Genomic DNA, 26,954 nt, shown 5'->3' with positions numbered 1-26,954 from the left:
ATCTTTCTGACATGGCCAGCTCTACCCTGAGACTGTTGGGTATGGCCAACCGTATCCTCAGACCCAGTGTGGCAAGCCCCCATCCTATCTGATACAAAGATATATGTATCAGATATAATATACATTACTTTCCAGAAGCCAAGGGCAAAAGCCTGACCTCCTCTTTGGCACACTGGCAAGACCAAACTTTTTTTTTTTTTTAATAAGAGATAGCATCTCACTTTGTTGCCCAGGCTGGAGTATACAATGGTGCGATCATAGTCACTACAGCCTCAAACTCCTGGGCTCAAGACATCCTCCCACCTCAGCCTCCTGAGCAGCTGGAACCACAGGTGCACATTACCTCACCCACCTAATTTTAAAATTATTATTTTAGAGACAGAATCTCACTACATTGCCCAGGCTGGTCTCGAACTACTGGTTTCAGATAATCCTCCCACATTAGCCTCCCAAGTAGCTGGGATTACAGGCACAAGCCACTGTGCTGGGCTCCAAGGCCAAACTTTTAGCTAAACCAGCCAATGCAAGCCTAACAAAAAACTCTGGCCACCAGAACTTTGCATTTGGAGCTCTCCTATACCTTGTCCCCTGTGTCTCTCTCTTCCCTTGGCTGGTTTTAACATACCCTATCTCTGTAATATATGATAGCCATGAATAGAATAGCTTTCAATGAGATCTGTGAAAACTTCTAGTGAATTACCAGAACTGAGGGTGGTTTGGGGCACCACTAAACTTGTGGTTTAAACTTGGCTCTCTTACAGCCAAGTTGGACATTTTGTAAATGTCCAACATTTACAAAAACTAGTATGTTCTGGGGATAGGAGGATTTTACCTCATTTTTCCAATACATTTGACCATCAGTACTGGTATTATCATCTTACCAACACCACCAGTGTTATATCATGGCACAGTGTGGTTGACGTGACTTGAAAAATGAGATAGTGATGCATTACCAGAGTCCCACTTAGTCATCAATAATTAGTCCAGTCCATCATCACACAGAACCAAAACGTCCCAGAGAGATTTCACTTAGTTTCATTAGCTTTCTTTTGAACTTGTCAGATTGTGAGAACAGATATGATCTTGGCAACACATGGCTTCCTCCTTTCAGGCATCTGGTATCATTGAGCTAAGAGATAACATTATCTCTTGCTCTGAGTGGCAATGTAATATTGGATTTCCCTTGGTGCATAATTCTTTTATTAATTCCTTTACCCTCAACTAGTGTTCCTCCTTCTCTCCACTTAATCATTTTATCCAAACTTTTTCACCCTTTAGAAGGAATGTTAAGTTTGACTGCTGTGCTAGTCCATATTTCCAACAGCATTATTAGTCTACCAAGTGCCCCCCGCCAGTTCAGTCCATTTCCACTTAAATAGGGGAGAGCTATAGACATACAGAACTGGTGAGCTTTCTTAACCACTGGGCAATTGACTGCATTTACTGTCAACTCCAATATTTCCAAATGGGGTGAAGACACAATTCACCCCATCAGGCCTTTACAAATTCCGACTTAAAGCTTTAACAATATAGTTATACTCTCTTTCTTAGAGATATTCCTGATTCTTGGACCTATAATTGCAGTCCTGACCTTGAGACCACTAAATCAGGAAAGAAAAGGGGAAGTTGAGGTGATGTGGGGAAAAGAGGAAAAAGAATAGTCATACCAGTATTCTTTTCTACCCACTCCTTCCTAAATCCTCCAGTTAAGTGGAGAAATCTATCTTTCGGAAATTTTCCCTTGGCCACTCTCATGTTAAGTGTAAGCATAGGCTCACGAAAGCAGGTTAGCCACCCCTCCTTGCCTCATCTCCCTTTCTTTTAGACAACAAATGTTCCACTTGTCTTTTTCAAGTCTATGTCAAACTCTTACCCTAAGGAGGATATCTCTCTATGCGCTGTTGGACACTATGGGCTGAAAAGTGTACTTCTTAGTCTGAAAAAATGTGACTCAAAGTGGTGCAATATTTTCTGCTCTGGTGCTTTTATAGTACTTTGACAATTTCTCTCTACCACTGGCTATGACAAGCCCAGTCTACTCTAAGCTCCTGCCAGGACGCATCTGTAGGCCCCTAGGGCTACCAATATCAGTCCCAGTTACCAGCTATGTGTGATGCCTTCCCACCCAGGGAACTTCCCCCATCACCATTTGCAGTCTTTGTCTCTCCAAATGGCAAATAGTACAATTTTATAGGCATTTTATTTGTGAGAGTGTGGAAGAGAATTATGTCTAGATTCAGCTCATTTCAGCATTGCTATGGGCCCCCAATGTCCACTAATTTAGTGGACCAAGATGTCCACTTCCAGGGAGCACATCAGAATATCTACTAACTGGTCCTAATCATCTTCTAGTCTTGGAAGGAAGTTCTTCTGATGGGCATTGACATGTCTAATGCACCCTCTAAATTCCTACAGTGATTTCCATAGGGCCAAGCTCCATGCAAGCTTCTATTTAATAGGCCAACTTCCCCTTGTCTTACCATACTACCCATGACTTGTTAGAAAACAAACACAGGGACAAATAGCATGCAATTCCGCCCCCTGATCTGATTTGCTTTTAGCTTCTTCTACCAGAGCAGTGGCCTTTCAAACAGGATCCTGTCCATTCACTTTGCAGCTACTCATCCATATACCATGTGGCTTTTTGTTGGTAAGTTGAGAACTGGTCATGGAGCACTGAACAAATAGCAATAAGCTCTGGCAGCTCTGCAGTTGGTTCCAAAGTCATCCCCAGGACAAAGGAAGCTGAATGCTCATGAGTACCTGCTTGCATTCCCCTGGTAGCATGTTCCTGTACAAACCATTTCTATTTGTCATAGAATTCTTCTTGGCATTGTCTTGTCCATTAGAATGCTTCTCTGACATCAACCAAGACATTATATGTATTTCAAGTTTGAGGATTAGTTCATGTCCTTCAGTTATAGGAGCAACTCAATTAAAGGCCAATAGCAAGCTCTTCATTGTCTCTCATTTGGAAATTTTCAGGTTCAAATTCTGACAGTATTCAGAAGCTACAATACAAAATGTCAATAGTTTCTATTTACATTAAAATTATTTTTATTTCTCTTATTAAGTCAAACTTCTTTTTTTACAGAAATGTTTCATTGGAATTTTTGCAGATTTTGAGTCAGCTGCCTTGGACTATAACTGTTAAGAATATACAGTATAAATCTCAGATTTCAGTCCAATTATGTTACCTGATCAAATAGGTCTCATGGAACTTATTTAAATTAAAGTAATCATACAACTTTAAGGAGCTATGTGTAGCATTTTAGGGATCCAATGTACTCAGCAGAGTTTTTATAAATTAAAGAAATTGTACAGCTTTAAGGAGCTATCTGTAGCACTTTAGGCATCCAATGAACTCAATAGAGTTTTAAAAGTCTTAGTATATCCTGGCACGAAGTAGGCAGCATCCTCCATATTCTTTTGTGGTGACAACCTAGAAGGCTATGAGTACTGTCCACGCATAGATAATGTTAAGGTTACTTAACCTCCCTTCTTTCATAAAGCCAGGCTCTAGAATGTAAAAATTCATTCTACATGCAGATTTTCCTGGTCCTATGAGATGTCGTGATTGTTAAAGATGAGCAAAGATTTACAGACTCAATTTTGAGACCTCAAGAGATTGTCACCCACACTATAAAATCTACAGCAAGTGTGGTCTCCATTATAAAGAAAATAAATTAAAATTTATGTTTATAAATCACATCTCTACCAAGATACTGTGTATCAGTTTTCCAAGGACTGATCAAGCATTCAATCTAGAATAAAGATCTAAGCCAGGAGAGCTGCTAAATCAACCCTAAGGAGAAATGACAGGTTTCAACATCTACTAAGAAATGCTAATTAGTTAATTACTAATTATATGTTGAAGAAAACTACTGATTTAGTTAGTACTAAAATTATCACTTATGTAACCGTAGATAGTAGGTGAGTAGCTAGATAATTGATAGGTAAATAGATCATAGATAGGTAAGTATAATAGTAAATGTGTGGTTATATTTCTTACAACTTTTCTCCCCTTGCAAATGCTATAAGATATGGAACATTTTTTTATCAAGCCTGATGTTGGGAAGCTGGACCCTTGCCTGAGAAATGATGAAATACAAGAATCAAAATTTTAGGAGACTCTCTCACAAAGCAGTCCATGGAAAAACACAAAGAAGATCCAGGTCTTCAGATTCCTCTCCAGGGTTAATGAGAGTTGCCTGGTTTTATTTTTCACCATGCAATCATTTTTTTATGTCCCAGGAGGTGGAATATCGGAGCTTAATTTAAGGCTCTCATGTCTGGATGCAAGACTGGGCTTGAAATCAAAGCCAGCTCTACCATTCATTCATGGTAATGTCTTTTAAAAGTTATTTAATAACCCCATTCCTCATTTTTCTCACTTGCAAAATAAGTGTATTAATAACAATTACCTCATTTGGCAGTTGTATTCACTTAGTTAGTATAGCATAATTTTTATATTCCTAACACAAAATAAGTATTATATTTGTAAAGTGATGCTATTAATGGAAGATTTACTATTAACTATTAACTATGCTCTATCAATACTATTGACTATTGATTATGCTGAAGTCATGTTATAATTCCCTAAAGGTCATCTATAAATGCATAACACAATTCAGAGTACTTCTTTATTGTAGCTTTATTGTAGCTCTCATCCTAGTTTTAGTTAAATTACTAATTTTAAAATTACTCTCAGTTGTTTCAGATACTATATAAGTTCCAACAGGGTAATGATTGTGTGTGTGTGTGTGTGTGTGTGTGTGTGCTCATAGCAATACAACAGTGACTAGTACAGTAGTTGAATAAAATAGATGCTTAATAAATCTTTGTGCTTAATAATTTACAGTTGAGGAATTGCAGGTTAAATGAGCTAAGTGACCTTCCTAAGGTCAAAGTTAATGATAAGTTAAGCTACATTTAGAAGCCAGGGCAAAGTTATAACAGACACTATCATCAGAGCTAATTTCATGCTTCTGTAGCTTGTGTAGTTGTACAGAGCCCCACACTCAGATGGGGCCTGCACTTGGCTTAAAACTCAACTGTTGCTGCCTTGAAATTCCTAACACAGTAATTTTTGAGTAAGAGACCCGATATTTTGTTTTGCCCTGGGCCTTGCAAATTATGTGTCTGGCCTTGACCGTCATGCAGTCTCCTGACTCAGCCTTCAAAACAGATTTGAGGATACTGGATTGAGAAATGCCTGCTCAGATTAATGCAGACTTTGGCCTACTCCACAAAATCAGCAAGACAAAAGGCTTCCTCTCCCTCCTGTCAGCTCTTCCCAGGGCCATAAGCATTCCCCTTTAGAGAGCTGGCAGGAACAAATTGGGCAGAATGACAATTGCATTGCACTTGAAGGAATTACATTAGCAACCCCAACTCCAATGTGAATTGAGAGCACAATTGCTCTCATCAGACACCTGAGGTCATACGTGAAATGGTAACAGTCAGATAATAAATAACATCATCCTGCACATAAAACTCAGAGTGACCTTCAGAAATTGTGGCACCCTCCAGTCTCTAAGTCTCTCTCCCCGCTAGCATAAAAATGCTCTCTGCTTTCCTAGGGCCTCCTTCCACAAAACTTCACCAGGATTTGTCCATTTTGGAGAGTACCCCACATTCCAGGTTTCTGCTAGCTCCCTCCCACTGGTGTGATATCCTACCTTGTTTTAACCTGAATTGACTCTCCCTTAGCTGAGAGAGCCAGAGAGACTCCATTTTGGCTCCTTCACTTACAGCCCCTTACCCACTCCCCTTCCACAAGGACTTAACTTGTGCAAGCTGACTCCCAGCACATCCAAGAATGCAATTACTGATAAGATACTGTGGCAAGCTATATCCACAGTTCCCAGGAATTCGCCCTGTTGATAGTACCCACAGCGCCCACGTTTGTGTACAGTTGATAGCACCCAAAGCCCCCGCATCTATCACCTTGTGATGGATTTAAAGCCCCTGCACCTGGAACTGTTCGTTTTTCTGTAACCATATATCTTGTTAACTTTTTTGCCTGTTTTGCTTCTGTAAGATTGCTTCAGCTAGGCTCCCTCTCCCCTTTCTAAAACAAAGTATAAAAGAAAATCTAGCCCCTTCTTTGGAGCCGAGAGAATTTTGAGCACCAGCTGTCTCTCGGTCGCCAGCAAATAAAGGGCCCCTGAATTAGTCTCAAAGTGTGGCGTTTCTCTATAACTCGCTCGGTTACAACACTGGTACATCAAAATATTCTCCAACTGCTACTGAAAGTCTGAGAGTTACTGAGTAACTGAGAAGGTAAACTGATTGACTAGTTAAAATTCAAGTGTTAATAGTTGGAGATAAACCTGGCCTTGAAAGAGACACACAAATAACTGGCTGCATCCCCTTCTATTTCTGCCCGTGTGATGTGTCAATTCCTGGGCCACAGACACTCTAGTCGGCACGCCCACCCCAAATTTCTCTCTCAGAGATTGACTGACTGATATTTTCACAACTGGAAGTCTTTAGAGGGCCCATAATATGAACTCCTAGTAAAATACAAATTATCAGAGCAAAAGAGCAGGCTAAGTTACACACCACAGCAGTCTCTTGCACTCCAGTGTAAGTTTATCAGATGTTTTCTGTAATCTAAATTTTGTAATGATTGCAGTGCTATAAGGAGCAGAGGAAAGAAGGACAGGAAGGAAGAACTGAGCTCGCAATGCTTCCCTAGCAATTTAATTAAGTCTTTTCAGTTAGATCATTCCTCTTCTCTGAATATCTATTGCAAATGTCCTGTAACTTCCTTGTGTCACCCACTCCTCCACCATGGCTTCCTCTCCTTCATTTTCAGCAGAAGATTGTGTTTCCCCACCACCCCCACACCAAACCCAGGGAAAAGATAAGCTAACAGGCAGATCTTCCTGTCACCAAACACACAGATCTACCTTCAACTTCATCCTCCCAATCCAATGAAGACTTCATCTAATGTCTCTTCGGTATGAGTGCACACTTCCTCCCTGGAGCCTTCATATAGGTAATTAAATATTTCGAGCTTTTCATTTTAAAAACCAAGTACTCATGGTGGCAACCATACCCTCGCCTCACTCACCTCATAATATATGGTCCTAAGGCCACTCTGTCTTTTACAATTAAGCACTCTAAAGATATATTTCCACCCACTTTGTCCACTTTCTGCCTTCGCACTGACCAGGTTCATTTTAACCTCCACCACTGGCTTTGCCCCATCTTCCATAGTATGGCTTCACTAAGGTGGCCTCCATGCCAGTCAGTATGATGGACACTTTCCAGTTTCCATTTAACCTGATTTTTGGGCACATTTTGACATTGACTAGCAGACTCCACTTCTTGACATACTTTCTTCTTTTTTTTTTTCCTTACTTTACTCTGGCCAGTGTCTGAGCCCCTTTTTCTAATTCTGCCTCCTTTACACTAAAACGTTTGGAATTTTTCAGGGCTCAGCCCTAAGCATTATTCTCTTCTTATTTTATCTTTTCTGAGTAACTTTAGCACATATGCTCCTATGATTTTACTTACCTTCTTTTCTTTCTTTTCTTTTTTTTTTTTTGAGACAGAGTCTCGCCCCATCACCCAAACTGGAATACAGTGGCACGATCTCAGCTCAATTCAACCTCTGCCTCCCGGGTTCAAGCGATTCCTCATTCTCCTGCCTCAGTATCTTGATATCTCCCCCCGAGTATCTGGGATTACAGATGCCCACCACCATGCCCGGCTAATTTTTGTATTTTTAGTAGAGCACGGTTTCACCATGTTGGCCAGCCTGGTCTTGAACTCCTGACCTCAGGTGTTCTGCCTGCCTCTGCCTCCCAAAGTTCTGGGATTACAGGCATGAGCCACTGCGCCTGGCCCAAATATTTCTTTTCAGAACAAACCTATCTTCTACATTCTAGGCTCATAGGTAACTTTATAGATGCATCCACTGAGAAGTCTCAGAAACCTGAAACTCAGCGTCTAAAACTAACGTCTTTCCCCAAATATCTGTTCCTCTTTTCCCTGCAGAATCACTTATTTCAGTAAATAATGCCACCATTCACTTCATGGCTCATGCCAGAAATATAAAAGTGACTCTTAACTCTTCCCACTCCTTCAACCCTCACTTCTAATCTATCACTAAATCATGGTGACTCTGACTTCCAAATAACTCTCAACAAGATTATACCGTTTCTGTATTCACCATCGCCACCTTAGACAGTGCCACCATCATTTTCACTTTGCCTATGGCAATAGCCTCTAACCAGCATCACACCCCTGAGATTTTATTCCTCCAACCCAATCTTTACTTACAAGTCAGGTACATCCTTTTCAAATGCTAATCTCCAACACTTCTCAATTTAGAACCTAACCTAATTTAGCAGTATCCTGTTACTTTCAGTAATGGTCTGAAACCATAGTCCAGGCTGTAACGCCTTGCATAATACAGACTCAGTTCCTGCCTCAACTTGTGCCATTGTGGCCCTCAATGCTCCAGAGGATGAAACCTTGCAGATCACCTGCTGCTCTTCACTTTAGGGACTTTGCCATGCTCTTCTATTTGCTGAAACAAACAAACAGACAAACAAAACTCTTCATCCTAACCTTCACCTGGCCACATCCTATATATCCTAAAGAAAGACACTTAAATATCACATCTGATAAGCCTACCTAGTTATTCCTATAGGACTCAGGCTATATATTTTTACAATACCTTGTACTTCTCCCTTTATTACTTGCCACAGTTTTAATCATTTGCATAACATCGACCCCACCTACTGTCCTTAGACAAAAGCTCCAAGAGACAAAGATTATGTCCATCTCGTTTATTTTTGACAAACTTTTACTTAGCCTTACATCATACACAAGGAAGAAATTTACTAAATATGTGTTAAGTGAATGAATGGATAAATGGAAACTGCAATTATTAAAACTCTACTCTTGGCCGGGCACAGTGGCTTACCCCTGTAATCCCAGCACTTAGGGAGGCTGAGATGGGTGGATCACCTGAAGTCAGGAGTTCAAGAGCAGCCTGGCCAACATAGTGAAACTCCGTCTCTACTAAAAATACAAAAATTAGCTGGGTGTGGTGGCACATGCCTGTAATCCTAGCTACTTGGTTGGCTGAGGCAGGAGAATCCCTTGAACCCAGGAGGCAGAGGTTGCAGTGAGCTGAGATCACGCCACTGCACTCCAGTCTGGGCAACAGAGTGAGACTTTGTCTCAAAAAATAAATAAAATAAAATAAAATCCCAGTTTTGAATTTTGTAAGGTAAGACCACATGTTTGGCTTCAGACTGAGAGTTCAGCTCCTGGAAATAGCAGAGGGAGGATTACATATGCCTAGGAAAAATGAAATATCTGGTTTTATAAAATTTTGTCAGCTTAGAAATGGCCCTAGTTTCACACTTTAAGTGTACATAGCTGTGCTGAGGCATCTCTCCAAAGACATGACTGTAATAAGTCTACATGGCTCAGGCAGCCTCTGTGATGGCAAGTGTTTTGTTTCTAGGATGAATGGGTTTGCATTACTTTTATGCATGCCATGAAATTAAATCCCAAGACCTCACAAGCTCAGAATTCACCCTGTCAAATCACACACAAGTCTGAGGAGGCTGAGCTTTCTTATCCACAATCCTTTCACTTATGATACATATTGCAGTTAGTTATATATATGGCTTTTCCATTAATTTGCTATTACATTTCTTTTCTCTGTTTTGTTTTACGCTCTTTTCCTTTGAAATTGGAGACAACATCACTTCCAAAGTGTTCTAGTAATAAAAGAGCTTTTATTTTAAAAAGTAGAAATATTTCATTTCATGAAATTAGATGTTTATAGCATTGACTTCTCCTTTACATTTATTATACTATTTTCTTTCAGCTCTTTCTTAGAGGATTAATTATACATGGTATGGGGAATTTGCAAGTTTCACTGCATCAACCTGTTTTCTGTGGTATAATGATGGCAAAAAATGATAGGGAAATATGATATTTTATAGTACTGCTTTGCCTCCAAAAAACGAGAAGGATATGCAACATATTTCTTGGTCCTATATATAAAATGTCTCTGTTCTCAAATCAGTAAACTATAAATTAATGAAAATATGGGACTAAATTATGTGTGCTTATTAATTTAGATCACAATGCTTGTGTCCAAGAAAGTGCTAATAACTATTCTTGACAGACATAAATACTCAGATTATTGTCATGGAACAGAACAAGCAACGTAGCTTATTAACACCATTTTTCCAATTTTTTTCTATATCCTTGCTTATTTCTTCTTTTATTTAGTGGAATTTTGCTTGTTTATGGTCATTTGTTTGACCATGCCTGTTGTTTGTTTTACAGCTGTACTTGTAAAAACTCAGGCAAAAATATCCCTTTCTCTGGTTACTTGTATCAGTGGTTCTGATCTTCTTACAAATACTTTAAAACATTAGTGTTGACATTGACCCATTCAAAGTCTATAACACTGTCTTGCTTTTTTCTCATTTCTAGAAAGAATTGAGAAGCCACACATAGTCTCAATTATGCAGGCATCTGTCTGCTTCCTCCAAGGAAGATTGAGACATCTTAAGATAATTTTCTACAGCATTGAAAGCACTTAGCATTTAGTTATATATTTTGTTGCATTTTTCTTTGATTTCATAGATAGCAGAAAATTGAACTATAGACACGAGAAGGCAATTTATAAAAGGAACACAGAAAAAAATTGTATATATTGAATTGATGACTTCCCCAGTAATGAAGAATTATTAAGATAAATTTTATATCATTTTAACCTATATATTGACAAATCTTAATGCAAATTATAAGGAAAGAACTTAGATAAAAGACAGGGATTCTGGAAATGTTTGGAGAAAGCATCATACTTTCTCTTCATTCTAAACAAGAATACCTCTGGCTCACCTGTCCAAATGGCTGAGAAAGGCAGTAGATTCCCAGATCGGACAGAAGTCTTTAGCTCTGCAGGTTGAGGAATCCTTAGGAAGAAACTTGTGAAGGGCTATCCTGCCATGGGCTTGGTGAGATCATGGTAAGATAGCCTCTGAAAAAAGATTGTGGGGATACTGGAAAGGACTTGGTCTACAGAAATATGTGAACTGCTGGGGAATTGGGAAAACAATGAACCTGAGTGTGTGTGGGGGGTGGGGAGGTGCGCGCGCACATGCGTGCATGGGCCTTGTTTCCTTGGCCTTCAAAATACAAGTCAGAGCAGAAAAGTTGAATTGAGTTATCCCTACTCCAGAGGCTAAGAGAGTAGGAGAAATCCAGGTCATAGTCAGGAATTTTCCTCCTGCCCTCTTACTGTTATAGGTTTAGCCACAGAAGAAGATGGTGATTTAACTTCCGTTTCCTCTGAGAGTTCTTCCACTTTGGATGCTTCAGCAACCAAAGGTGATTCCTAAAGAGATCACAGGAAAACATCATAATCACACATACTTGGAATCCAAGCAGCCAGCAAGGGGAGGTTAAATAGGGCAATCACCAGGCAAAAACCAATCAACAAATTCACCAACCAACAAATAATCAACCAACTCACCAACCAACAAATAATCTCTGATGGAGACAGCTGAGGTTTCAAGCAATAATATAGGACAACAATATGGTAAAAAAAAAAAAAAAAAAAAAAAAAAACAAAAAAAAAAACTGCAATGATTGCAGCTCAGCACAAAATAAGACTTCCTAGAATAAAAATTTAATTTAATTTTTAAAAATCTACTTTTATTCATTTAGGGGTACAAGTACAGTTGTGTTACATGGATATATTGCATAGTGGTGAAGTGTGAGCTTTTAGTGTACCCATCACCAGAACCATATCTATTATACCCAATAGGTGGAAAATTCAGTAGGTGAGTTGAAATATGGAATGATTATTGTTACAACTAAAACTAGTGGCCTGAAAAGGTGAACGAAAGAATATTATCTCAAAGTACAGACCAAAACATGAAAAAAGAGAAAATTTGAAGGGAAAGCTATGAAATCTGGAGGATCCATTTCAGAAACTTAGCATCTAAGTCACAAGAGTTTTAGAAGGTGAAAAGGAAACGTTTTATACAAAGGAAACTGTGTGATGGGAGATACACAATAACTATCTTAATGACTGAAGGATGCTTCCATTAACTGGAGAAAGATTGGCTTGTACAGAATGAAAAAACTGCATTAAGCTTCTTGAAGTAGTAATGAGAAAGATATATGCTAACAAGATTCTTGACCTCGTAAGGATAAAGAGAAAAATATATGGAAACTTCTAGATGGAAAATGTGAGCTCCTAAAAATAATTCAAATGGAATCAGACATGTTTTTGAACTATTGAAAAGTAAATGACAGTAAATTCCACTTGCAGATTGCTGAGAGAAAAGGATAATATCAAAAAAAGTATATCTAGTAAAAGAAAGATAGGTATGTGTGGTTAGATGTTGATTTCAACTAAACCACTTGAGAAAAATACTTGAGAAACACATCAGTGAAAAGACAGGTAATTCACAGCTGAGAATTCAAACTATCAGTAATTGAAGAAAATGGATTGTAATGAAAGGGAGATTATGATAGCCTAGAACAAATTGAACTATCTTGGGGAGACTTAGGAGTTGGGTTAAGGTGGAGGAGAAGATGTAAAAGTATTTCACAGATCTCATCAACAGTAGAGAAGATGAGGTGGAGTAAGAAAGACTATTGTAAGACATCATCTTATTGTATGGGGTTAAATTGTGGTTTATAAGGAGCATCTTGGTGGTTCTCCATTACACAAATAGGCAGCATTGTGTTTTCACATAATAACAGAGAACTGTGTGTATAATTACAAATGATGGGGAAAGTAATTTCACTACTAAAGGAATGAAATAATAGAAGAGAACATACTAATTTAAAAGGGGAAAATAGAGTGATTGGCAACCACTAGAATGTAAGTTCTATAAGGGCAGATATTTTTGCCTTGTTTGTTCTCTGATACATCTTAAGATTCTGGAAAATCTTGGCACATAGAGGAGACTCGATACACTTTTTTTAATGAAAAAGGGAAACTACAAATTAAGCCATGAAATAAGATCAAATGAATACAATTAAGCATACTGTTTATTAAATTCCAATGATATACATGATATACATGTATATGTACACACACACACACACACACACACACACGCACAAGACAAATGGATTGATTATAACTGTTAACCCAGCATTCTATACCCAGGAAAAACAAAACTATTTTTATTTTTATTTTTATATAATACAAGGTAAAATATAATATTTTCAGATAAAATAACACTAAGGAAACTTTTCCTGAAATATGCACTACAAGAAGTGCCAAACTAAGTTCTTTAGGGTGAAGGGAAATATTGCCAAATGAAAACTCAGATCTTCAAGAAGTAATGAAAAGTATCAGAAATGATAAATATCTGGCATAAATTGTTATAGGCATCGTTACTATTCAGGTAGGCGAATTGATCAGTCTTTCCCTTATTATTTCTTCTATTTTTATTTTTAGTTTTTAAATAGATTCCATTACACAAAGATGTTTTAATATTAACTACACTTGCATCCTAAATTTTTGTGTCCATTTTGGTAAGTTGTGTTTTTCAGGGAGTTTATTTCTTTCATCTGCATTGTTGAATTTGTTGGCATACATTTGTTTTATAATATTACTTTATTAACCTTTTATAATGCATGTAGTTACGTCCCTCTTTCTTTAGTATTGTTAATCTGTGCTTTTTGTCTTTTTATTGATGTTCGGCTAGAAATTTATCAAGTTTATCAATTTATGTAAGAACCTACATTTAGTTTTGTTCATGTTACTATTATTTGTCTGTTTTCTGTTTAATTTTATTTGTTCTTATTTTTTTATTTCCTGTCTTTGATTGAATCTGTTTTGTTTCTTCCTGAGGTGGAAGCTTAGATAAATTATTTTAAACATTTCCTTTCTTAAATATGTGCATTTAAATCTATGTGTTTGTTTTTAAGCACTGACTTAACTTCATCCCATACATTCTAAAGTGGTTATTTTTCAATTCAAAATATTTAATAATTTTCATTGTGAATAAAACAACAATAGCTTTATTAAGATATATTTGACTCATAATAAAATTAATCCTTTTTGGTATAAAATGCCCAGAAGTACAACCATCATTAAATCTAATTTCAGAATATTTTCATCACCCCCAAAAGAAATCTTGTCCCAATTAGCAGTCATTTCCTATTCCTTCTTTCCTGCAAACGCTGGCAACTGCTAATCTCTTTCTGTTTCTGTGGATTTGTCTATTCTGGACATTTTATATTAATGTAATCATACAATATGCACTGTTTTGTGACTGGCTTCTTTCACTTAGCACAACGTTTTTGAGGTTCATTCATGTTGTAGCATCTATCAGTACTTCATTTTTATTGCCAAATAATATTGCATTGTATATAGCTCATATTTTCTTTATTCTTCATCTGGCAGACATTTGGGAATTTCCTTTCTTGACTACCATACATAATGCTGCTATGAACATTCATACACAGGTTTTTGTGTGTGTGTTGGCCCATATGGTTTTATAAGTGTGTTGCCTAATTTACAAGCATCTGGGATATTTTTTGATTATCTTTTAACTATTGATTTCTAGTTTAATTTCATTGTGATCAGAGATCAGATTATATAAAACTTAAATATTTAAAATTTATTAAGTCTTAGCTTATTTTTTTACTACTCTATGTCTGCCTGAAATTAATGTTTATTCTGTTATCTTTGAGAGTAGGGTTCTATAAGCATCAGTTAGTCCAAACTCGTTAATAGAGATGTCCCAATCTTTTACATATGTATATATTCTTTGTCTACTTGTAGCAATTACTCAAACAGAATCAACTTTTTTCTTCAATTATTATTAGAGATGATGTATTTATATGCTTTTCTGTTTTCTCATTAATTTTTTGTTTCAGTATTTTTAGGCTATGTCACTAAATGTATACAAACTTTTATTATGTCTCCTTTATAGATTGACCTTTTTGACATTATAAAATTATCATTTTGAGTAATAGCCTTTATCTTGAAGTCTACTTTATCTGATACTAACATAGTCACACTGGCTTTCTTGTTATTAGATTTCCCCTACGATTAGTTTTTGCCTTTTTTTTTCGTCTTTTTACTTTCAACGTATCTCCCTCTTTCTAGTTAAAGTGGATGTCTTATAAACAGCCTTTTTTTTATTATTATACTTTAAGTTCTAGGGTACATGTGCACAACGTGCAGGTTAGTTACATATGTGTACATGCGCCATGTTGGTGTGCTGCACCCATTAACTCGTCATTTAACATTAGGTATATCTCCTAATGCTATCCCTACCTCCTCCCCCCACCCCACAACAGGCCCCGGTGTGTGATGTTCCCCTTCCTGCGTCCATGTGTTCTCATTGTTCAATTCCCACCTATGACTGAGAACATGCGGTGTTTGGTTTTTTGTCCTTGCGATACTTTGCTGAGAATGATGGTTTCCAGCTTCCTCCATGTCCCTACAACGGACCTTTTTCTTTTAAATGCAACCTAACAATCTCTACCTTCTAACTGAAATGTTTATCCACATACACATATTAGTAATATATTGCTGCCTAACAAATTACCACAAACTAATAGCTTAAGACAACACACATTTGTTATCTGTGTATGAGGAGTTTGTGCGTGGCTTAGTCTGGTCTTCTGCTGAGAGCTTTACAAGGTTGCAGTCAAGGTGTCAGCAATGTTGTGTTCTCATCTGGAGGCCCAATTGGGAAAGAATCCACTTCTGAGCTTTCTCAAGGTGTTTGCAGAATTTGTTTACTTGTAGTTACAGGAATGAGGGTTGTGGCTTTTTGCTGGTTGTTGATTGGAGGTTGCTCTAGCTCCTAGAGGTTTCTATCGGCTCCTTAACAAGTGAGCCTCCCAATATGGTCACTTAGTCTTCAAACCTAGCTAGGGAGAGAGAGTCTATAGAGCAAGTGTGCTAACAATAACAAGGTGGGTTTTTGTGTAACATAACATAATCATGGGAGTGGAACCTCATCATCTTTGCATATTCATTAGAAGCAATTTATAGGTCTCCCACACTCAAGAAAGGGGTAGGTGGATCATACCAGGGCATGAACACCAGAAAGCAGGCAACATAGAGGTCATCAGAGAATCTACTGTCACGTTAATGTAGTTGCTGTAGTGACTTGTTTACATCAACCACCTCACAACTCGTTTTCTCTTCCATATGTTCTTTCTTCTTTTCTTTCTCTTTTTCTATCTTTTTAGAATTTATTGGAAACTTTTCATATTTCATTTTATGTTCTCTATTGCATTGTTAGCTCCATTTCCTTGAATTCTATTTTCAGAGATTATTTATGCTAGATATTAAAATATGTATTCTCTGTGGCTAGCAGCAGGGCTCATCAATTCATGCCTGGACATAATATAGGGCTTGGGCAGTCCAGCTAGCTCCTTTGGGTTGGAATCCATAACTTTTTGGTGTGTTTCAGTGGGAAGTATAAAGCAAGTATCTTGATTTCTAAACCCAGGAATTTTAGAATTGACCCCTATGATCAAAGAATTTTGGAGCTTTATAAGTTCTTTGGCAGTGGTGATCTCAAACCAATTATGATCTCCAAACTCCCTTCTCAGGTAACTGTTGGGAGCAATGGCATCCCAGTTTGTCCCTGGAATGGCTGGAAAGGGTACGATCTTGTGAATAGATCACTTTAAAAAACTGTTTTATTTGCTTATTAGCCCTGTATCTCTTTAAATTTTGTTTGTTTACAATGACGTGCTTTATTGGCCACAAATTCTTAGTGTGATGTTTCCCGACAGTACCTTTAGTAGATTATTTTACAATCTATCCATCAATATATATGTTATAAATATATATTATATATATTGAATCCTGAGTTCATCACAGTATACCTTGAATTGATAGTTTACCATTTTACAAATAATGTAAGAATTGCACAAAAACCATCCTCCATTTAACCCCTCTCACTCTTTCTGTGAAGATTGGCATATATTCTTCTTCTAGTTATATTATAAACCATACAATATTTTCCTACTATATTTTCTTTCTTTCTTTCTTTCCTTCTTTTTCTTTCTTTCTTTCTTTCTTTTTCTTTCTTTCTTTCTTTCTTTCTTTCTTTCTTTCTTTCTTTTCTTTCCTTTCTTTCTTTTTCTTTCTTTCTTTCTCTCTTTCTTTCCTTTTTTTTTTTTTGAGATGGAGTTTCCCTCTTGTTGCCCAGGCTGGAGTGCAGTGGTGCAATCTTGGCTCACTACAACCTCCGCCTCAGGGGTTCAAGCGATTCTCCTGCCTCAGCCTCCCAGGTAGCTGGGATTACATGCATGCACCACCACGCCTGGCTAATTTTTTGTATTTAATAGAGAGAGGGTTTCACCATTTCGGTCAGGCTGGTCTCAAACTCCTGATCTCAGTTAATCCACCCACCTTGGCCTCCCAAAGTGCTGGGATTACAGGCATGCTATATTTTCTTAAAAGAATCAATCATCTCTTAATGAAATTCTTAGAAAGCATTTTTACATGTATTTATTATTACTTTGACTCTTCATTTCTTCTTTCAAAATTAGTCTTCTGGAATCATTTCTCTTCAGACATAACTTCGTTTAGTATTTATCATAGTGCACATTTCATGATGATGAATTATTTCACCTTTTTCTGAAATATATTTTTTCCTTTTAGTTTTAGAAGATAATTTCACTGGTTATAGAATTCTAGTTATATGCTTCCTTTTCAGCACTTTAAAAACTTTATGCTATTGTCTCCTAGGTTTTGTAATTTCTGATGATAAATATTCTTATTTTTGTTTCATTGAATGGAATTACCCTATTGTATCTGGCTAGTTTAAATATGTTGTCTTTATCTTCGGTTTTCAGCAGCTTGACTACAATGTAGTAAATTGTAGGGTTTTAAAATGTTTATTTGTTCTCCTGTCTCTGTGTCCTGATGTATTTTGTTAATTTTGTGAAATCTTCAGCTATTATTTCCTAAATATTGCCTCTGGGCTATTCTTTTTTTCCTCTCATTTTGGAACTCCCATAGAGCAAATATTAAAACACTTGATATTGTTTAACAACTTCAGACTGTTTCTGTTTTTCCCTTTTCTATTTTTTTCCCTTTTCTATTTTTTTCCAATTGTGTTTCATATTGGATAATTTGTGCTATGCTTTACTTAAATTCACTGACTCTTTCCTCTGCTGATGCATTCTGTTTTTAAGCCCACAGGCTGAATTGTTGCTCTCTACTTTATGATTTTTAAAATTTCCATTTGGTTCATTTTTATGTTACTTCTCTCTGCTGAAAGTCCTCTGTTCACATTTGTTATCTAACTTTTAGATGGGTTATTTTAAAGTTCTTTTCTGGTAATTTCAATAGCTGAGCCTTCCATACATCTCCCTATATAGGTGGTTTCTTTTTATGACTATAGGTTACATTTCCTTGCTTGTTCACCTGCGTGATAAACATTTTATTTTATGGCAGACATGACACATTTTAAAAACCAGTAGAGACAGAAATAAATACCTTTTTACCCCCATAGGCACCTGTATCGAGGAACTTTTCTTTTGAATCTTAGCTGGAATTGAGCTGGGTGGGAACTGGGACATAGCTTTAATATTTTCTCTTTTCCTCTGATTTGAGCTATCATGACTGTGAGGTCAGGATCCTTCCTCCCAAAGAGTTCTTCATCCCATGCTCCATGAAAATACAAGATGTCTTTCTGCTTTCTGGCCTCATCACTAGAAGCCACTTACTCTAGTTGGTAGAATTAACTTTGCTTATGGGATGTTTTCACCCACACAGTCCTTATAAGTTTGACTATACATATACATATACATATACATATACATATACATATACATATACATATATAATTTCTAGTCTTAGAAAAGTCTCTCTAACTATGGCAACTGGTTTTATACCAATATTGGACCACTGCCCCATGGTACAAAAATTGCTATTGGTCTTTACTTACCTAGAAGAAGCACACATCTTTCTGGAATTTATATACTCATCTATCTTTATGCTTGCACTGATATCATATTGCTCAGTGATTGTGGTTTTAAGATAGTTTTAAATCACCAGTAGGCCATATTTCTTCTTTTTAAGATTATGTGTATTAGTTAGTTTCATAGTCTACTTTTTTGCGGAGGTGGGCAGGAAAACTCTTGATTATCTTATCCATATTATATTAAGCATATAATAATATAAAATGGCATTCTAATAATATTGAGTTATTCTGTCTAGGAATGTAGCATTCTGTATTTGAATATTTTTGATTTCCAGTGTAGAGAAACATCACGTGATATATATGGTTGTACTAGTACTTGATGAGAATTACTACAGCACAACTGTAAAGGATGCGGACTCCTTTACAGGAGGAATAAGGCTTAATAAGGCTTAAGGGATCAAATCCCATCTCTACTTCCTTGCCACTCAATTTTGGATCATAGTAAGTCCTTCCTTCACATCACTGATAGGTTCTTGGAAACTGCCACTTTAACCAAACAATGTACACCCCATCCTCAAATAACATTGTTTCTTTTCATGCTTTTTGTTATGACATAGATGAGAAAAATCATTGGTTGCATTATACCTCATTTCACCTAAAGTTGCAGTTTCTGAGAGCCTATCAACGACATGAAGTGAGGTCTTACTATAGTTAACGAATTCTAAGTTTCCCCAAGTGTAAAATGTACAGAATAATAGCACCCACTTCATACACAACCTGACTGTGAAGACTGAGTTCCTGCATCAACAGCACATATGATAGCACCAGGCACACAGAGAATGGTCCGGCGAACATTTGTTTTTATCATTATTACACTTTTTTCCAATGCATTATCATCAAGAAAATGAATCTTTTTTTAGGTAGCTTTTGAGGAAAAGAAATGAACCTTCACTTCTAAAGTCCTCAGCTAATGTCTATTGGGTTTCATTGGCCCAAATTGAGTTATATATTTTTCCCTGAATGTGATATGTTGGTTATGGTCTGATCTTTCTCATACCTGTAGTGAATAGTGGAGTTAGCTTAACTACAAGTCTTAAGTTTCCTCTATTTGCCCCAGGAAAATTTTTATAGTTGTGCTTGTATTTACATATTTACATCATCTACCTAGAAGGTGCATGTGTTTTTATATTTTCTTACTAGATGTCCTTTTTTTTTGAAAGGGAGTCTTGCTCTGTTGCCCAGGCTGGAGTGCAGTAGTGCCATCTCGGCTCACTGCAAACCCCACCTTCTGGGCTCAAGAAATTCTCCTGCCTCAGCCTCCTGAGTAGCTGGGATTAGAGGAGCCTGCCACAAGGCCCAGCTAATTTCTGTATTTTTAGTAGAGATTAGTAGAGACGAGGTTTCACCATGTTGGCCAGGCTGGTCCCAAACTCCTGACCTCAGGTGATCTGTCGGGCTCAGCCTCCCAAAATGCTAGGATTACAGGCATGACCCACCATACCTGGCTTTTATCTTTTTTTTTTTTTACAGCCATTGATATCTTATTTTCAGAATTGTATTCTGAAGATCTCATACATATAAAATGAGGAGGCCTTGTATTATGACATTCTGAATTGCTAAAATACTTAAAATATTAACAATTCAGTTTCTATTGAGATAATACTATTATTGAATGAGTTATTTTCAGTGGCTATCTCATCCAGATTCTGACAATGTTCTTGCTGCCTCATGCTTTCTTCCCATGGACTAAATCTGCTTCATAAAAATGCAGGTTCCCTACATAAAAGAACTAGATAGGTTATGTTATCAAACATAATACTACCCATTATAGTTATTTATTTGAATCTCAATATAAAGTGCTATAATAAATCTTTCTAACAGTGCTTTTAAAAATATTTTATTTTTAATTAACAAGTAATAATTATATACAATGTTAGATACAATATGCTTTATATTGTACAGTGATTGAATCAGGCCACCTCACATCATTTCTTTGTGTTGAGAACACTTAAAATTTACTTTTACCAATCTTGAAATATATATCTAATAGTTTTTCTAATTTTATAAAAGGCACGACTCATCTGTCCTTTGTACATTGATGAATTATATGAAAAGCAAAGAAGCAAACTAAATATGATGAGACTGGCAATAAGAATGATGGAGTTTATATCTTTAGTTATTTTTCTTCATCAAGCTGATATGGTATCAAAACTCATTTCACAGTCATAGAATGAAATTAGCTTATTGCACTGAATTCAAAGAAGCCAATTCCAACCAACATTTTAAGTTTATTTTACATCCAAGTTAATGGTCACTTAATTTTCTTAAATGGTCATCTTGTTCTGTTTATCTTAGTCTTACTGATGTGAACTGATGTTTGCTGTAACATCTCACTGACTATTCTTCCTTCTTTGAATCACTTTATTCTTTGATCCCAATACTCTTCCTTAGAACCTAGTATACTAGAATGTAAGAGCAAACTGTCCGAATGTAGTGAAAGGAGACAAGACTTGAGCTTCTTTTTGAAGCAATTCAGCTGTTGACTCACCCTACAGTAAGAGGCAGAGTGTGAGAATATTGCCTAGAAGGTGACAATATAATTCACTTTTCTGAAGTATTGTAAGATGGAATTAACTCTCTCTCTCTCTGTGTGTGTGTGTGTGTGTGTGTGTGTGTGTGTGTGTGTGTGTGTGTGTGTGAGAATTACAGGTAGCTTCTAGATAAAAAAGAAAGAGGCTTCCAGAACACTGTCACTGAGAATTTGTCTTTTCCATAGTATACGTTATAGTGAAAATGACTATAAAGTAGAAACTTTTAATAATAAAAAATAAACTTTATAGGCTGCAATTATAATTTAGAATGTCAATATGAAATACATTTTTATTAACTGTGACTTTTTATAACACAAGATATATTTCTGATGTGGCATTTAAGTAAGAAAAGCAAAACATTTTAGTGTCATTTTATCCCTCCAATGAAAGACACAAATTACACTCAGGAAGACATGGAATTCTTAAAAGTAGTTAAGTGGGTGTTTGTCTTCATGAATTTCAAATACTAGTAAATAAAACTGTGCCTCCATTCATATTATTGCATATCTTTCATCAAAGCAGCAGCAAATAAAATTTTTAGTTTTTTATTTGTAAATGTTTTTCAATCAAACACAAGAAATCAATTATCAATTTGTGTTTCCTCTTTTTTTTCTTCATTATTCTGGCTAAACATGCATCAATTTTATTGACATTATCAAAGAAAGAACCAACTTAAAAAAAATTGTCGCTGATTTAATGTTTTTAGTTTCATTGATTTCCGTCCTAATTCTTACTATTTCTTTTCTTCAGCTTGCTTTAGGCTTATATTGCTCTTCATTCTCTAGTTTTCTAAGGTGGGCACTAGACTATTGATTTTAGGTTTTTCTTCTTTTCTAGCATATGCATTCAATGCTGTATATTTCTACGTAAGCACTGCTGCTCACAATGTTAAATTACACAATTTGTAAAAATTACACAATTTGTAAGTATGGCATGTCTATTAGTTCTGATCCACAAATTGGAGTTTTCCAAATTGAAGCCTTCTCTCCTGTTGTGCAGTGTGTCTATTACCTGTTAAAATCTTTAGTCCCTACATTCATCATTTAGAATCATAAAATCTTAGATATATAAAGATACAATCCTTCCCATACATATATTCCAATGATTAAACTAATACCCAGAGTAGTAAAATTACTTGCAGGGAGTTATCCAGTGGCTCCATCCCCTCTTACAGTGATTTCTATTGAGGACAATTGACCCATAATATCCAGGAGATAGTGAGCTTCATTTAGAACCCGGTCTAGAGGTTGCCAACTTCACAGTACCCAGAAGCTGTATGGAGCTTAGTTACAATTTTAAAATATATGGCGCTCAGTAACTACAAAATGCCAGCCAAGCCAGTGATACAAGTGAGGATGGAGATATCGATACTGAATGAAAGAATGAATTTTTCTAACTCATCATTCTGATGTCATTTCTTCATAGCAGAGCATAAAATAAATACAAATACATTAAATTGTACGGTGGACTAATGGATGCGGTGGGTTTCTTTTCACCTTATTTATCTCCTGGAACTTACCTCCATACATGTACTAATTAAACGTCCTAACTGAGAGCAGGGGCTCTAAGATCTATCATGAAAGCATTGCCAAAAAGAAGACTCGGTGCTTGGGGCCCTGGAGACAGCTGAAAAGACAAGTCAAGGAAACTGGATGGCAGAAGGGAATACTGAATGCAAATTTCTTCTAACTGATTTTAAAATAAACTTCTATTAATTTTATCTATAATCTGTATAAAACTTGGTAAAGGATAGAATGATGAAACATTTTTATGAACCACGACATTTAAACACTTATTTATACAACTTTCTGAAGTACTGTATTTTCATTTACAGATCAGTCCCACAATTTCACAAACAAATGTGTTACTCCTTGCTAACGACAGCAATTAAAGTATATTGTATCACACGGATCAAACTTGAAAGTGCCTTATCTAACAGGACATTTTATAAAATATCTTATCTCATTGCATTGGTGGAAAAATTCTTCAAGAATGTATAAAATATACCTTTTTATCCTAATGCATTACACAATTTAATAAAAGGAAATAAAATATCTCCAATAGTTTAACTTTTTCACATATATATCTTTCAATTCTTGTGCAGAAATTCAATCACTATCTTAAGGGAACACTATGTAGTGTTTATGTGGATTATTTCAGATACTTATGACTTTCAAGTGAAAAGAGAATCTCAAACTATAGAAAAGGTGGTTTTCAAAGCATAACAATGATGAGAATGGTAAGATCACTGATACTGTAAATGCAACCATAATTCTTTTTTTCACAGGACTATTTTCATAATAGTAGAATATCAAGTAATCTCTATTAGGATTCAAAAGGATTAGAGAAATAAGTGTTTGGTCCAAAACAAGAATATTTTAAAACATACTATAAATTATAGTCAGCAAAAATACAAAGTTAGTGTAAAATTAATGTAATGGAGACATAACCCTTTATGTTAAAAGTGAGCAGTTGCTTCTCATTCTGTTTCTGCTTTCCATAAATTGTAACCTCCATCAACCCAACAGAAAAACTACTTAACAAAGAGTTTAATTCCTTCTTCTTTCCTTCTCTGTGTGGATTTGGGAAATCAGTCTTATTTTCCCGGACATCACCCCTCCCTTTATAAAGTGATAACGATAACAGTTTCTTAGTGAGGATTGTTAGAGACAGTGTCAATGCAGCACTTAGCATAAGACCTGGTACTTTGCCAGTGATAAAAAAATTGGTGGTCACCATAATTAATTGCCATCATTTTTATACATACGTGGAGAAGAGACAAGACCAAGGGGGTGAGAAATAGACACAACTGGGTTCAAATTCTTCTGTGCCTCCTATAATTTTTGTGCTCTTGTAAAAATTAGTTAATTTCTCTCAGTCTACGTTTTCTTATTAATAAATGATGGGCTAATGATCGCCTCTTACAGTGCTGGGTGAGGGTTAAATGAGATTAAAAGTGCAGACCACCTAGTAACAATTAGGTTAATAGGAGAAACTAATACATGTTTTCTTTCTTTATTTTCCCCAGAACTACTTAACAATATACATACTGATCCATTGTGGAATTATTAAGGAAAATACATTGAAATAGGTGGCATTCTTGTCAAAGATATATATGGACGGCTAGATGGATAGATAGGTAAGTAGATAGAAATATTTCATTATTTGCATGTAATTGCACCTTGCTTTTAGGACAAACTGCTACAGGAAAACATGTATTTATAAAAGTCCAACAATGACAAAATTATCAAAGAAATATTTTGCAAAGAGAATAAAAACTATGAATGTACCCCCTGCTTGATGTTCAACAGCTCTTACTACACATTTCAAAGTCAAAGATGGCATGTGGTTTCCTATCTGAAATTGACAGTCACCCTGTTTTCCTTCATTGACCTCTTTTTATAATATAAGTTTTATCCCTTTAAATAGATCACAAGCACTTATCCAGTTCACTCCATAGACAGGTAGCAACAAGAGGAACATTATATTTAACCTTTGCTGGTCAGTAAACTTTGAAATTTTTTTATCTTGAATATAGTATCTAATAAAGTGGGTGGTGGTATTAATGCCAACATTTCTTTTTTTAAACACTCATTACTCTCACTTTAAATACTTTCATGCCACATTTATATTTTTATGTTGTAATCTGCTATGGAAAATGCCTTAACTGAGGTATTTTTGTATATTTACAACTTATAAAGTAGAATATGATTTTAAAAGACAACAAAATACAGTGTTGGGAATTGCAGAAAAATTAATATTTTTGGTTTTGTATTTTTGAAGTCTTAGTACTCAATGCCAACTGTAGATATAGCATTCTTTGACTCTAGATTTCTGGACCAAAAAAAAATGCAATCAAGTTGTGCTTGGCAAAGCATTTTAAATCCATCTTCTACCTCTCTTGCCTAGCCAGAGGTCTCTCAAGAACCACTCAAATTGTTCTTTAGTGGCATGGAGAACATTGTGAGATGGCAAATGCTATATTATTGGATCAAATAAATATCAAGATTAGTGATCTGCACTAGTAATGATCTGGATCGCTGGAGAACTCCATTGCAGCCTAGGAGGCAAGCCAATTAAAAAGAATAATTGCTTTCCCATCCCACTACCAGTTAAGGAGACTCCACACTTTGCAGAATTAAGAGGCAAAGAAGACAATGGGGAGGCAATGGGTTGTCACAGAGCTAATAATCCACACCCACTTACAAAGTCACCAGAATGAGCTTCAGCATCACTATCACATAGGTTGACAGCCATGAACAAGAAATAGATTATTTAAATAAATGTTATCTCCCCAGGAGTTAACCCAGATTGCACTATAAATTCATCCCACAAATAAGCTTGCTTACATGCATGCATGCAAATTTTAAGTGTAAAATTCATTGAAACTTTGTTGATAATAGTAACTTAGTCAAACACTTTTAATAAGCTATATAATCCACTAAAAGTTGACTAGTGAAATTAGAATACACCATAAATAGAATGTCATGTAACTACTAAAAAAAGCTTCACACATATATATATAAAATATATATATAAATAATAAATATAAATATATATTTTATATCATATATTATATAAAAATAAATATTTATTATATATATAATATATAAATATATTATATATATATATAATTGTATACACACACACACACACCCCAAGATAAATTTAAAGATTTTTTTAAGGAAAGAAAAAAAAGTATAGAACTTTTTTATGGCTGCATAATATTCCCTGGTGTATATGTGCCACATTATTGAACAATGAGAACACATGGACACAGGAAGGGGAACATCACACACTGGGGACTGTTGTGGGGTAGGGGGAGGAGGGAGGGATAGCATTAGGTGATATACCTAATGCTAAATGACGAGTTAATGGGTGCAGCACACCAACGTGGCACATGTATACATACGTAACAAACCTGCACGTTGTGCACATGTACCCTAAAACTTAAAGGATAATAATAATAATAAAAAAGAAGTCCTCACAGAATGCCTTTCATTAAAATTGCGTCAGAGTGTAAAAGCATCTTCAGAGAATTCTGCACTTTATCAGTTCTTCTGGGAGGATTTGAAACAAAAAAGCTGTCTTATGAGGCAGGATGATGTATTATAGTAGCTAGGAGTGTGGCCTCTAGAGTCATACTCCCTGGGTTCAAATTCCAGCACAGCCACTTCTCTCTACAGAGCTTTGGACAATTTCTCAAATGTTCTGCACCTGTTTCCTCATCTGTCATAGTCAGATAATAATAGTAGATTCCTTGCAAAGTTGTGAGGATCAAGTGATTAATATAATGCACCTAAGCCATGCCTAGAAGATAATGTTTTGTAAGCATTGATTATTCATGTCTTGGTATTATTATTTTTATCTGCCAATAAAAATACTGAATTATCATGTGTATGTCATTCTAACATGCAGACATAGCAAGTAAAAAAACCATCAA

General features: G+C 36.0%; 1 long non-coding RNA gene across 1 annotated transcript in view, besides 1 other annotated feature; it reads left to right on the top strand.

Moving 5' to 3' along the window:
- Nucleotides 1-26,954, top strand: part of LINC01807 (long intergenic non-protein coding RNA 1807) — a 128,137-nt gene that overhangs the window by 98,063 nt on the left and 3,120 nt on the right. Inside the window, exons 2-3 of the long non-coding RNA NR_151716.1 lie at nucleotides 6,824-7,006; nucleotides 24,540-24,650. This is a non-coding gene — a long non-coding RNA (long intergenic non-protein coding RNA 1807). The remainder of the gene's footprint in view (nucleotides 1-6,823; nucleotides 7,007-24,539; nucleotides 24,651-26,954) is intronic.
- Nucleotides 4,996-5,648: an enhancer, noted in NCBI's record as "OCT4-NANOG-H3K27ac hESC enhancer chr2:229372401-229373053 (GRCh37/hg19 assembly coordinates)". NCBI's record gives its function as "activates a minimal SCP1, AML or CMV promoter by ChIP-STARR-seq in primed H9 embryonic stem cells {active_cell/tissue: H9 hESC(primed)}" and the evidence as "EXISTENCE:reporter gene assay evidence [ECO:0000049][PMID:30033119]".

The sequence above is a fragment of the Homo sapiens genome, chromosome 2 (genome assembly GCF_000001405.40).
Source record: "Homo sapiens chromosome 2, GRCh38.p14 Primary Assembly".
Lineage (NCBI taxonomy): Eukaryota > Metazoa > Chordata > Mammalia > Primates > Hominidae > Homo > Homo sapiens.
Note: the sequence above shows the minus strand (reverse complement) of the source record. Positions and strands in the feature narration are given on the sequence as shown.